The following is a 14,867-nucleotide window of genomic DNA, read 5'->3' as shown; positions in this document are numbered from 1 at the left end:
TAAAGCTGACAAATTATATTATCATGTAAATATATAGGTAGTTTGTTAAGAAAGAGCTAAAAAAAATTCATCTATGTTTTTAGGTATAGGGGAATCTACAGTTTTTTGTAATATTCCTTAGATATTCACTTTAAAATATTGTGACTGAAAGTGAGTTTGTCACTTTTGAAAATGCTATATAGAGTTACAAGGGAAGCAACAACCTTATAAATAAAGACTATTCATCAAAATGTATTGAAATTTCACTATCTTATAGTCTTCCACATCATCTTGACCTACAGAACATTGCAATACATCATTACCATACGCAGTGCTCTAAAAAGACCACGTAAATACTGGAAAAGGCCGACTTAACTGTGTGTGGTTTTTTTTGCTGTTGGTTTTTTTTTTTTTTTGGACTTTTAAAAGCAGAATTAAGTATCTGATAGCAAGAATCCTATTCTGATAAACTTTTTTTTTTAATCTAAATACCTGCCTTTCTTCTGATCTCCATTGAGTCCACCAGCCCTGAAGATAGCAGCTGTACCATCTAATAGAAGATAAACTTTTGTGCCTGTTTTCCACCCTCATTGAAGAAAACCTTTGAATTTGTAACTTGGGTAGAAGATACTTATCGCACAATCTTCACTTGCCAGGAATTCAGAAAGTGGGCCATGGCAGCCACCACTGGAATCTGACCTCTCTGGTTTTATTTGTTTAAAAACAAAAAAATCAACAGCACAGAATGCTTAACTGAATTTTAGTGCACTTAACCAGAAATATCCTGCAATACCTTCTGCAGGAATGTATTTAAATTATGTGGCAGGTCTGCTGAAGAAAAGCTATTTAAATGTTACTGATCATGCCCAGATCCCATTACAGTTCTAATTGCATTCAGGCTCTGTATTGTTTTAAAATCCCTATGTGTTAACACAGTTTCTAAGCCAACATGACACAAAGTAGATTTTGCTTTTGAGAAGTCAATTCAAGGGGGACCCAAGACAGAATCTAAAGTTAAACTTGACATTCTTAATCAAAAGTGTTCCCCCAAGTTTTTAAAATTCACTTCATATCACAAGAAATGTTTTCCACAAAAATTATTAGTTTAATAGCTGCTAGCATTCATTTCCTTTAAAAAGAGACAGAGAAAAAGAAAGCTTTCATTTTCATACCTCAAAGACCTGCAAATCCCAAATTTTAAGAGTGTTTTATCCTCAGTTAGGTAACCTTATTGAGTGGGGAATTACTTCCAGTAATTATTCTTCTCCAAATTTTGCTCTTTTGCCTGCCTCTCCGTCTTTTCCCCATTCACCATATCTGAGCTCTCTTGGCTTGAAAGATCAAACTAATCTACTAATAAGTGAAACCATATCAGAGGAGTCACAAGAAATATGATTCAACAGGGATCTTTCTAAACTTGATGCTTCTCGTCTGTGCTAGTTTGTCCACCTATTTTCTCAGATCTAAATGTTCCCATACTGGTGGTCCATGAGTCATTCATGTTTATCCTGGTGACCACCTACGTTTAGTAGTTCTTTATTTTCCAGCATCTCAAAATCCTTGGTCTTCTTCTTCTATTAATATTCACCCAAATTTTACTGAGAACCAGGCATAATGCAAAATGTTGAAGGCTGCATAAATACAGAAATGATATACAAAGAGACTGGAATATAAATAATTCAGGGAAGGAAGTGGGAATATTTCATGAAGGCAAGGACCACATCTGGTTTTCTATTTGGCATCATAGGGGTGCTAGTTTCCAAGTTAAGAACACCTGGTTTAGACCCATTTTGTCTTATTTTATTTTTATTTTTTTATTTTTTTATTTTTTTGAGACAGAGTCTCACTCTGTCACCCAGGCTGGAGTACAGTGGCACGATCTCAGCTCACTGCAGCCTCCACCTCCCAGATTCAAGCGATTCTTCTGCCTCAACCTCCCAATTAGCTGGGGTTACAGGCATGCACCACCACGTCGACTAATTTTTTGTATTTTTGGTAGAGACGGAGTTTTGCCATGTTGGCCAGGCTGGTCTTGAACTCCTGACCTCAGGCAATTCACCCAACTCAGCCTCCCAAAGTGCTAAGATTACAGGCATGAGCCACCATGCCCAGCCCCCGACTTTAAAATTAGTTTGTAATTCCTGTAATGGAAAGATGAAATAAGTCCATGATGTCTTACTTAATAAACTGAAATAAAACCAGGTTTGGAAAGTTGCTGTAATCCATAGATAATCAAATCTCTACTTCTCAATTTCAAAAGTTTCTGACAAAATCAAAATGACAATAGAAATAAAACTACTTTGCAAACCAGAAAAAAATTAATTAATTAACAAGTGAATAACCATTTTAAAATACCAAATGAGAAATATCCTTTCTGTTGCTTGTAGTTTTATCTTTGCCTTGAAAATTAGATTGATAGGGTTTAATGGGTTGAGAGGTTTCCAAGGAGAAATCAGAGAACTTTAAAAATTTTATCTTCTTGACAGGGCCTTCGTTTGAATCACTAGCACTTACTTTGGTATAAAAGCTGTTTCTGGGCTGGGCACAGTGGCTCACACCTGTAATCCCAACACTTTGGGACACCGAGGCAAGGGGGATCACCTGAGGTCAGGAGTTTGAGACCAGCCAGGCCAACATAGTAAAACCCCATCTCTACTAAAAATACAAAAATTAGCCGGGCGTGGTGGCGAGCACCTGTAATCCCAGCTACTCAGGAGGCTGAGAGGAGCATCGCTTGAATCCAGGAGGCAGAGGTTGCAGTGAGCCAAGATTGCGCCACTGCATTCCTGGGTGACAGAACAAGACTCCATCTCACAAAAAAAAAAAAAGAAAAAAAAAAAAAAGCTGTTTCCCTATCTCTCTAACACCTTTGCCTTTGATGAAATTATTTAATTCTAAGTGACATATTTTAGAGTCCATGTCAGTGTCATTTAAAAATTTCTCTGCTGCTCAGATAAAGAAACGTGGTAGAACCAAGTACCAACTTTCAAACAACTCACAATTGACTTGTAGTTCAACTGGCAGTTTTTCTTGTCCCCACTTCCCTTCTCAAATCTAAAGCCTTACCCATGGTGGCCTTAAGAACACTGAATATGACATTGAGCTTGAAAGAAATCAGACCCATGAAACATGGGACCTTTTGGGAAGCTGACCCTGAAGAGAGATGGGGTTGAGAGAAGGAGAGCAGCCGCCCTGCTCTGGGCATGGCCCCTTCTGCCCCAAAATAGCATCTGTTTTTTGTTTTTTTTTTTGTTTTTTTCTGCCTAAATCCCTTCACTTCCTTTTACTATAGCTTAAAACTCTGTCAGAAGGTCACTTGAATTAACAAATCTATGCTTCTAAAAGTGAAAATACCTCTGGGTGGATTCAATGTAATATCTTTTATAGGAATATACTATGTTGCTGACTCTGTGCTAGGCCCTGTGCTAAATACAGGAGGAAGATGTTAATGAAAATGAAGAAGACACAATGTGTGTCCACCTGAAACCAGAATCTGGTAAGAAAGAATGGTATATAAACAAAACGTGACATGAAAATGTGTAATATGGCATACATAATTTTTTAAATGTTACTATGTTTTTAAAAAGTGATCTTTTGGGGATATTAGCAAAGGTTTCACTGTGAATGTGACTTTAAAGTGGACCTTGGAGGGTCAACTAAAGTTCCACAGTCAAACTGTTCTATGCAAAGACAGTGGCATGCACAAAGCAAACAGACAGGAAAGAGCCCTGCATGGTAAGGAAGAAATATTTGGTCTGGCCACAGGATGTGTAGTAAACATGGAGAGTCACAGAGCTAATAAAGATCAAGGATCTGGTGGGTATATGACAGCCGGATTGTCAAAGACCTAATGGGCTCTGTTTAAGATATTAAGCTGCATCTTTTAGTCAAAGGACAGGTGTGAAAATGCTGGCACTGGGGTGACAGGTCCAGATCTGTATTTTCAAAAGATAATTCTGGTAGCAGCATTTCTTAGTGAATCACATTTGCTTTTTTAAAAGAACTAGCTGGAAAGTTATATTCAAAAAGTGGGAAATAAGGGAAGGAAAGATTAGAAATATTAGATCAGGGGATACTTTGGGGTAGAGTAGTCCTGCAAGGGATGCTATAAAGGGGATTGAGAGCAAAACGGGAGTGCAGGGTTCATGAGGGAGATAAACTAGGAGGCAAGAGGTGATATTAGTAAATTTGAAGTTAAACATATATTGCTTTAAAGCAGAGTTGGCAAACTATGCCCCATACATAGTTTTTATACAGCACATGAGCTAAGAATGTTTCTGTATTTTTTTTTTTTTTCTTGAAACAGAGTCTCACTCTGTCACCCAGGCTGGAGTGCACTGGTGCCATCTTGACCTGCTGCAACATCTGCTTCCCGGGTTCAAGTGATTCTTGTGCCTCAGCCTCCCAGGCAGCTGGGACTACAAACACACACCACCACACCCAGCTAATTTTTTTGTATTTTTAATAGAGACAGGATTTCACCATGTTGGCCAGGCTGGTCTCAAACTCCTGGCCTCCAGTGATCTGCCTGCCTCTGTCTCCCAAAGTGTTGGAATTACAGGCATGAGCTACCGCACCCAGCCTGTTTCTGCACTTTTAAGTGTTTGGAAAAAAAATCCAAAGAATAATACTAGTGGAACATGACAATAATATAAAATTCAAATTTCAGTGTCCATAAATAAAGTTTTATTCTAACTCAGCCATGTTCATCTGATTATGCATCATCTCTAGCAGAGCTGAATTCTTGTGACAGGGATTGTAGGGCTTGAAAAGCCTAATAAAACATTTACTATCTGGCCCTTTGTCGAAACGTTTGCAGGAATATTCAAAGAAACCTATGAGTCTAGAAACAGGAAAGCCGAGATCTTGCCACTGCACTCCAGCCTGGGCAACAGAGCGAGACTCCGTCTCAAAAAAAAAAAAACAAAAACAAAAAAGCCAGCAGCCTTTTTGTACATTATGGACCTGCATAGAGTGACTAAAGACATGGAGGAATTTTCATTCATGTGGTTGAGACTAAGTCAATGTGACTTGGCCGTGTTAGGGCTCAAAAGATGACCAAGGCTTGGAAACATGCCATTAAGATTTCCTGATTACTACACAGTGACTACCTCAGATGATTGTTGGAAAGCTAGTGAATGGGGCAGACAGGATGTAACACTAGAGATTTGTTTTATGAATTGGAATTTATTACTGACTTCCAATTATGTCTGGAAGAAAAGATGAGGGTGGGGAATTCAAGAGGGTGTAGATTAATTCATAGGACTTAAACTAAAATGTATTTATTTATAAACTCATATAGAACCACTTTGTAAAAGCATTTCTACTTTTTCATGCTTAAAGCATTATACTAAATGCCATATACGATTTTTTCTTCATCCATTTCAGAAACAGTGCTGATGAAGTACCAGGTTCTATATCAGGTCCTGGGGATACAAAAATCGATAAGACATGGTCCCTTTCCTTAAATAATACACTCTTACAGAGAGGAAACCATGTAAGTAAACCAAAAAATAAAAATAAAGAGGCAATAAGGAATTCATAGGAAAAAATGAAAATATTGGTTAGTTCAGTTATGAAACAAAGGGAGTGGTCATTTCAACATAAATGTGTTAATATTTATAAAGCATCTGGAACTTCCTTCCAGAAGGGCTCTAAAATGAATGCAACATCATCAAAGACTAAGCAAATCTCCATTTTTAATTCCAGATACAAAAGAAAAGACTTAGATGGTACATTTTGGCCATTGATCCTAAAGTTGCAAAGGCAATTGTTATTCAGGATGAGCTACCGCATGCCAATGGTCAGATTCTTGACTTAGTTAAGTTTATATATCGCCAGAGGTTAACACCATGCAATAGAAACAAAAAAGATCCAATATGTGTTTATCAAATACATGAAATGTCACAACATTTTTTGAGCCCAAATTTTGATTGTGTGGATAATATAACTCTGAAACTGGTTTTAGGAAATTCTATCTCATAGTCAAAGGGTGTTATTTTGGCTACATTAAGTCACAAAACAGTATGAGGCAGGAAGCTTGCCCCAGTAGTTATTAACCCTCTGCATTGAGCAGAACGAAAGAAGGGAAGTTCCTAAACCTTATCCATTATTTGAATTTATTACTCTTCACTGCCCTAATAAGCATAATGGAACTTTCTGAGACTCTTGGCCTTGTGAAAAAAACTGCTTTAAAATATTTAACATGAGCGTTATGTATTCTTTGTAAAATGGAACTAACAATAACAATAGTAATAATAATAAATTCTACATAATAGGTGCAATGTAATACAATGTAATATAATAATGGTATATACAATAAGAAGATTAAGTGTGTAATTTTTTAAAGCACTTACAGTCTCTAAGACAATGATTGTTTTGGGTGTGTTAATTGTATTGTTACTGTTATCCACACTTACTGGGAAGGACAGTCGTGCAAATAAGCCAAAACTTTTTATTCTGAATTTTGAAATTAGTTGCATAAACATTCATTTCACAGTAGATTTTCTTTCCTCTAATAAAATTTGCTCTTGTTGGCTTTGTTTTTTGTTTACTCATTCATTCATAAATGTGTTCAATAAAAACAATTCATTCAAGCAAACATTTAGTAGTTTAATCAATGCTATCTTCCCCTATTTTGTGGGGGTGGGGTGGACTGAAAATCCAAATATATCTTAGTCCCTGCTTTCAAGGAGATCAGTCTATTTGGGGAGTCAAATAAACAAATCAAGGATTAAGGTGTCTGCCACGATACAGGTATGTTCAGGTGCAGTGGGATAGAGTTTCCAGTCCACAATTCAATCAGTGCTTAGAAAAGCTTCCCTTAAAGAGATGATGATGGACATAATTTTGAGAAATTAATACCATTTGGCTAGGTAAGGGAGGTGGGAGCCAGAATCATTTTGGGCAGAAGAACTATGGGAAAACATGACATTAAAAAAAAAAAAAAAAAACATGAACTTTTTTTTGTGTTCGTTTGGCTGAAACAAAGGAAACATGTTGGGTGGCCTAGCTGGCTTCTTCAAAATCAGATGAAGTGCTAAGGATTCAAGTGCAAACTGTTTATTGATGAGGTGATCCCAGGAAACACTGGCAGGCGTATGGAAAAGTAAGCTGGGAAAGGAAAGGCAGCCAACAAAAGGTATTTTATTAAGCCTCTTAAGCCTATGAGTGGCCAAGCACAGTAGCTCACGCCTGTAATCCTAGCTCTTCGGGAGGCCGAGGCAGGTGAATCTCCTGAAGTCAGGAGTTCAAGACCAGCCTGGCCAACATGGTGAAACCCTGTCTCTACTAAAAATACAAAAATTAGCTGGGCATGGTGGCAAACCCCTGTAATCCCAGCTACTCGGGAGGCTGAGGCAGGAGAATTGCCTTGAACCTGCGAGGCGGAGGTTGCAGTGAGCCGAGATTGTGCCACTGCAGTCCAGCCTGGGTGACACAGCGAGCCTCAAAAAAAAAAAAAAAAAAAAAAGGACTATGAGTAAGTGGAAATTATCTACACGGGAAAGTTCTAGGAGCTGATGCGGAACACAGGCCTCACAGTTGTTTAAGCCAAGTGTGAGAGAGTCGGAGCAGTTACGTGCCACATAACTTTCTGTGTGCCACATAACCACTTTGGGTCAGTGATGGACCGCATACATGATGGTGGTCCTAAAAGATTATAATAAAGCTGAAAAATTCCTATCACCTAATGACATCATAGCTGTTGTAACCATTGTAGTACAATGCATTATTCAAGTATTTGTGGTGGTGCTGATATAAGCAAATCTGCTCTGCTGCCAGTCATATAAAAGTATAATACATACAATTATGTACACAATGTTTGATAATATAATAAATGTTACTGGTTTATGTATTTAATATATTATACTTTACTATACTTTTTGTTGTTATTTTAGAGTGTACGCTTCTACTTATAAAAAAAAAAAAAAGTTACCTATCAAACAGCCTCAGGCAGGTCCTTCCAGAGGTATTCCAGGAGAAGGCATTGTTATCATAGGAGATGACAGCTCCATGCACGTCATTGTCCCTGAAGACCTTCCAGTGGGACAAGATGTGGCAGTGGAGTACAGTGATATTGATGGTCCTGACCTCGTGTAGGCCTAGGCTAATGTGTGTGTTTTCGTCTACATTTTTAACATAAAACTTTTTTAGGTAAAAAAAATTAAATAGGAAAAAGCTTATAGAATAAGGATATAAAGAAATAAAATATTTTTATACAGCTCTAACAATGTGCTTGTGTTTTAAGCTGTTATTACAAATGAGCCTAAAAGTTTAAAAAATTAAAAAGTGTATAAAGTAATAAAGATACAGTCAGCTAAGGTTTTTTACTGAAGAAAAAATTTTTTTGTAAATGTAATGTAGCCTAAGTGTATAGTACTTATAAAGTCCACAGTAGTGCACAGTAATGCCTTAGGCCTTCACGTTCACTCACCACTCACTCACTGACTCACCGAAAGCAACTTCCAGTTCTGCAAGCTCCATTAATGGTAAGTGCCATGTACAGGTATGCCGTTTTTTATCTTTTATACTATTTTACTGTACCTCTTCTATGTTTAGATACACAAATACTACTGTGTTACAAATGCCTACAATAATCAGTAAAGTAACATGCTGTACAGATTTGTAAACCAGGAGCAATAGGCTGTAACATGTAGCCTAGAGGTGTAGTAGGCCATACCATCTAGGTTTGTGAGAGTACACTCTATGATGTGTGCATGATGACAATGTCGCCCAACAACACATTTCTCAGAACGTATCCCCCTCTTTAAGCAATGCATGACTATACTTATTTATGCACCAACTTTTTTCATTCATTGGTTAAGGATTGCTGGGGGAGAAAGACTTCAGGCAGTTGAAAGTCAGTTTCACTACAAAGGTAAGATCCTAGAATGAGGATGGCTGGGGGAGACTTTGAGAGCATCAACAGTACTTGCCACATTGGGCACACCTAGAAGCTAGACTCTGATGGGAAGGAGTAGATAATGAAGAGGTTTTTCTGTTAAGTAAAGAAACTTGAATTTTATCTTAGGTATTACAGGGAGCTTTTGAAATGTTTTTCAAAGGGATAAGAAAAACAGGTTTGGTTTTGTAAGGTCTACTCCTGCTATCTCTTTGGAAGATGGATTAGAAGGGGCTAGACTAGGGTAGGCAGCTCTAATTTAGAAGCTGTTGAAGTTCTCCTGACAAAAAATCATGTGGGTCTGAAATACAGCTTTGCATTCTGTGTGGAAGGAGAAAGAGAGAAGTCACAGGATATTTCATATTTCTGCCTTGGGAAACTAGGAATAAGGCAGAACTGTTCAGCCAGATTGAGAGTTCAAGAGGAGGAAACAGGTTTCAAGGGAAAGATCCATGAGATAAGACTGGAAATTCTGATTGTGCAGCCTGCTGTATAAGTCCAGTGATATGGTTTAGATATGTGCTCCCACCAAATCTTATGTTGAAATGTGATCCCCAGTGTTGGAGGTAGAGTCTAGTGGCAGGGGTTGAATCATGGGGGTGGATTCCTCATGAATGGCTTAGTACCATCCCCTTGGTGATCAGTGAGTTCTCGCTCTGTTAGTTCACATGAGATCTGGTCATTGAAAAGAGGCTGACAACTTTGCCTTCTCTCTCTTGCTCCCTCTCTTGCTATGTGACACGCTGGCTCCCCTTGACCTTGTGTCATGATTGTAAGCTTCCTGAGGCCTCACCAATAGCTGAGCAGATGCTGGTGCCATACCTGTACCCCCTGCAGAACAGTGAACCAATTAAACCTCTTTTCTTTATAAATTACCCAGTCTCAGGTAGTTCTTTATAGCAACGCAAGAACAGACTCACCCATCCAGAACTTGCCAAACGTCTCTGATCTGGAGACATATCTCTGAGTATTCTCAGTATAGAAATGGTGGCTGGAGCCATGTGCTAAAGAGGGTCTGGGCTTCTAGAAGATGAAGAAGAAAAGCTGTTAAGAGTCTAATGAGGAAGAAGGCAGGTAAGCAATGACACAATGGAAATATTGGCAAGAAATGCCACAGGGAGAAGTTACCAGGAGAAGCTAGAGAAAACTATCACCAGAGAGTCTTTTGATGTTAAATAAGAAGAATAAGTTGGTACCCATTAGGTGGATAAATGAAGGGATAGAGCATTCTTGGCAAAAGGATAATCTGTGTGAAGACAAAGACATATAAAGGGGCAAAATATGAAACGGGCTAAATTAATATAAAACCAGGCTAAAGGTTGCCTTTTCATTATCTCTGAAGAAAGGCATTCCCTGAGAATAAATGTGAGCTCCCTGATTGCTGGAAACATCTTTATCCCCAGTAGCTAGCACATATTAGGTGTTCAAAAAGTTGGTTGAAGTAATAAGGTCTGTTTAAGTAAATAATGTAAACTAATATAATATAATATGACATAATATAATTTCAGAGAGAATATTCAACTACTTTAGAGAAAAACTTGTAATCACATAAGTTTATTCACTCAATGATTATTTAATTCAACTACTACCAAATTGTAAGCCCTCATATCTATTTAAGGCAGGAACCATAAAAACACACAGCAGGCAAAAGCAATGTTTACCACATTGTCCTTAGTTAATGAAAACAATAGTCCAAGTAAATAAAAAAGTATCCTTATTCAGTGTTTCTATTTATTTTAACAAGCTCTTCCTACTTAGTCCTTACACCTAATATAGCACCTGCCTCAGAATACTAAGTGTGTAATAAATACTTGTTGACTAACTCTCAGGAATTAGTTGACTTCTGAATAAAATGAGTACTTTTTCCCCCAATGGCTCTAAAGTTTTCTGCTTGGAGGTGAACTTGCTTTTGACTGCACAGAAATCCTCCATTCTTCTTAAAACCGTACTGCTATTTTGCTTTGGAAAACTGCATGGATATAGTTCTAGAGTTTCCTTTAGTTTTGCTTCCTGGTCAGAATATTGACACATGACCAACTAGGCAAAGCTAGTGCTTTTTAAATGCAACTTGAAATCTGAATAAAGTGACACAGGCACTGAGTATGGTTAGTACTTCCTACTTTTAACATATCTGAAATGACTCTAGTTTTTGTCTTTTCCTAACACTGGTTCTTCGGGGTTTTTTAAAATCTATAATGTATCCCATAAATTGTAATATTTTTTGCTTTAGCTTATCCAGAATTAGGTTCTATTGCTTATAACCAAAGAATTCTAGTGATACATAGTTCTAAGATTTTATGAAACTTAGCAAGAGGAGCAAGAAGAGGAAGAGAAAGTAACAAATAACACAGAAGTATGCTGAGTGGAGAGGAATATTAAAATGAAAAACGCTTTACCCAAAGATGAATTGTATATTCTTAAATTAAATGTGAGTCTATGGGCAGGGATTTCTTATTTAGTGAGTATAATAATCAGTTAGGATGCTTATTTAAATTCAAGAGGAGGAAACAGGTTTAATGTAGATTTCCATGCCCTGCTCCCAGAGGTTCTGATTAGATAGGGCTGTGTATGCCTGGGAATCTGCATAATTTATAAACTTCCCATATTATCCTCAGACCATGCTTTGGGAAACACTGCTTTCAGTCCTGCTATGTACAACAACAACAACAAAACGGCAACTAATAAGATCTATGAGCACAGCAAAATCTGCCTTCTCCCTGCTATTTTGCTAAATAGTGCCAAAGTTCTAGTACAATAACTGTTTTATAAAATGTTCTAGCTTTGCCAATGACAACGGTGACCTATTAAGTGAATCATAAGAGATATTTACATATAAAGAAAAAACAGAGACTAGTTTCAAATTTTTATTTCACTGCGCAAGAGCCAATGAGATTACAAAAGGGAATATTTAGTGTTAGAAAACTAAGACCACCATCTTTATTTTATAATCCAATTTTTGTAATTTAGATAAAAGCCGTTTTCATATGAGTATAATTTTATTCCCTGTTGGTCTTTTGTATACACTTGTGCTCATTCAGAATACCATCATCTGCATGAGATCGCTCTCATAAGGACTGAGAATTCATGATTATAGATTATCCCTTAAAATGAAAGTGGGGTGTTGTCGAGATATTATGTTACTAGACCAATTCTGCAGGTAAGATTATCTCTAGGACAGATATATATGACATATCATGTAATGTTCACAAACATTTGAAAAATTGAGTTTACTTTTTTAAAAGGTAAGGTAGCACTATTCACAATAGCAAAGACATGGAATCAACCCAAATGGCCACCAATGACAGACTGGATAAAGAAAATGTGGGCCGGGCACAGTGGCTCATGCCTGTAATCCCAACACTTTGGGAGGCTGAGGCGGGCAGATCACGAGGTCAGGAGATCGAGACCATCCTGGCTAACACGATGAAACCCCGTCTCTACTAAAAATACAAATAATTAGCCGGGTGTGGTGGCACGTGCCTGTAGTCCTAGCTCCTCAGCAGGCTGAGGCAGGAGAATCGCTTGAACCTGGGAGGCGGAGGTTGCAGTGAGCCCAGATCGGGCCACTGCACTCCAGCCTGGGTGACAAAGCGAGACTCCATCTCAATAAAAGAAAAAAAAAAGAAAATGTGGTACACATACACCATGGAATACTATACAGCCATAAAAAGGAATGAGATCATGTTCTTTGCAGGGATGTGGATGGACCTGGAAGCTGTTAACCTCAGCAAACTAATGTAGGAACAGAAAACCAAACACTGCACGTTCTCACTTATAAGTAGGAGCCAAACAATGAGAACACATGGACACAGGGAGGGGAACAACACACATTGGGGCCTGTTGGGAGGTGGGGTTGGGGAGAGGGAGCATTAAGAAAAATGGCTAATGCATGCCAGGCTTAATGCCTCGGTTGTGGGTTGATAGGTGCAGCAAACCACCACGGCACATGTTTACCTATGTGACAAACCTGCACATCCTGCACAGGTACCCCAGAACTTAAAAAAAAAAATGTTTTTTAAAAAGCTAAGGTAACAGAAGAAAAAAGAGTCCAGATAGTATTACCTAAACATTCTTACCCAACAAAAAATTCCAAACACTGTTTTAAATGTGCTTGGTGTATTTCCAGAGACATCTTTATGTAAAAGATATAAGACAAATGTTACAGGAAATAGCAAGGCCTGACTGTATATATATGCAATGCCCAGTTTTAGTAAAACTGCTATTTTGCTTAACCATTTTATAATATTATTTAATAGATCCTGTGCAAAACTTTCACCCTGGAAACAAAAAATAGTATTTTAAAATTCCTTTTCAATTTTAAATTCAAGTCAACATGATTTAACAATTGTGTACTGAATATAAACAGGATGCTTATGACTCCACTAGATACTGGGAAAGACACAAGAAAATGTACAAAGTGAAAGATTTAATAATTTAACTATAAAGACAAAAAAATTAACAAGTTGATTTTAAAAACCAGAAGCTAGTAAATGCATCGTCTAGAAAAATATGAGGGCGCAGTTTTCGAATAGGAAGCCCAAGCCTGCTGGATCAAGGAAGCCCATGTGATACTGCTAAAGTGCACAGAAGACACTGTTCTCCCTGTCTTTCTTCCTGCACATGACACTCACAAGGTTTACAATAGGGAGGAGAATACGTAGTAAAATCCAATGTCTAAAGCACTGAATTAGTATTTAGAAATTAGTCATAGATGTGGAAAATTACTTTCACACACCAGCTTACTAAAACTTCAAAGAAATGGTATAAAATAAACACAGAACTTTTTATTAGAACTTCAGACTTTAAATAAATATATATATTTATATATATTTTAAAAATCTGTCTGCTCTATGCTGCTGGTACATGTGACAATCACAAGAGATCACGGGTGTTGTAACATTTACCAAACATTCACCAAACATCCCCTTTCTGCAGCTCAGACAGAACTGGTTAAAGGGACATTGTTTTTCTTCTAACGTTTCTTTGTGCTATTTAATTTGGTTTTTGGCTTTTCCTTCCCTGTAATGTTAGTTCATCTGATAATAATTACTTTTGATAATAGTCTCAGACTACAGAAGCAGGGGTATTTTCCATTACTTTTTCAATTAACACCGGGAAAGTGGAGATTTTTAATTCAATGCAACATGACTCAACAATTGTTTATTGACTACTCACATGATGCTCAGTGCTCCACTAGATTCTGGGAAGGATGCAAAAGATGAACAACATGATTTCTGTCTTCTAGGAGCTGGAAATCCTACTGAAAGATAAAATAGACAAGAATTAGATGAAGAACTATAAGATGGCAAGTGAAGCTTTTGGGGATGATGGTGTTGGTATGCCTCAGTAAGATGTTATGTAGCAGTATACTTGTTTTTAATATTCAAGAGAATAATAGTAGAAATAGTCTTAAGAAAACCAGAAAAGTGTAGAAAGGTACAAAATAGTAATTGATATTTCTCTCTTGATAGGAAGACTGGCTCATATTAAGCAGATGTGACTATTAAAAAATCGAATTCCATATCTGTTGGAATGTACATCTGGAAGAGTCTCCTGTCAACCAACAGTGATCCTCAGACTCTTTTAAGCCTGAAGCAATGTTAAATAAAAATAATACATGGTTGGCCATTTCAAAAGCATGCCCAACCAGAGTCAAACACAGAATTACCAGTAATGAGTAATATAAACTGAGAAGTGAAGTTTGGAGGAGAAGCAAAAAGTGGAATTGAGTTCCAGGAAAGTGATTTTTTTCTTTTTCCAATTGGAAGCTAGGGTAGCCTCATATCCACTCTAGACTTTGTCTGTCTTTTGAAAGGACTAACCACAATGTTGTAACCTGCTTTCCCCCTGCTAAAAATGATTAAAGTTAAACATCAGTTTGGTATTCTATGAATTACACTGCTTTTTTTTTAGTTACTACCACAAATACGAAGATTTTTATCAATTAATTTTGTTCACAGTGTGTGAAAATCATTTCTGTTCCAAT

General features: G+C 37.4%; 1 long non-coding RNA gene across 1 annotated transcript in view, besides 1 other annotated feature; it reads right to left on the bottom strand.

Annotated features, from left to right (window-relative positions):
* Positions 6,954-7,248: a silencer, noted in NCBI's record as "tiled region #1900; HepG2 Repressive non-DNase unmatched - State 24:Quies". NCBI's record gives its function as "represses a minimal TATA promoter and a strong SV40 promoter by Sharpr-MPRA in HepG2 cells {active_cell/tissue: HepG2}" and the evidence as "EXISTENCE:reporter gene assay evidence [ECO:0000049][PMID:27701403]".
* LOC105374164 (uncharacterized) overlaps positions 13,063-14,867 on the bottom strand; it is a 67,936-nt gene continuing 66,131 nt past the window's right edge. Inside the window, exon 4 of the long non-coding RNA XR_924592.3 lies at positions 13,063-14,141. This is a non-coding gene — a long non-coding RNA (uncharacterized LOC105374164). The remainder of the gene's footprint in view (positions 14,142-14,867) is intronic.

Source organism: Homo sapiens, chromosome 3 (assembly GCF_000001405.40).
Source record: "Homo sapiens chromosome 3, GRCh38.p14 Primary Assembly".
NCBI classification, from domain to species: domain Eukaryota; kingdom Metazoa; phylum Chordata; class Mammalia; order Primates; family Hominidae; genus Homo; species Homo sapiens.
Note: the sequence above shows the minus strand (reverse complement) of the source record. Positions and strands in the feature narration are given on the sequence as shown.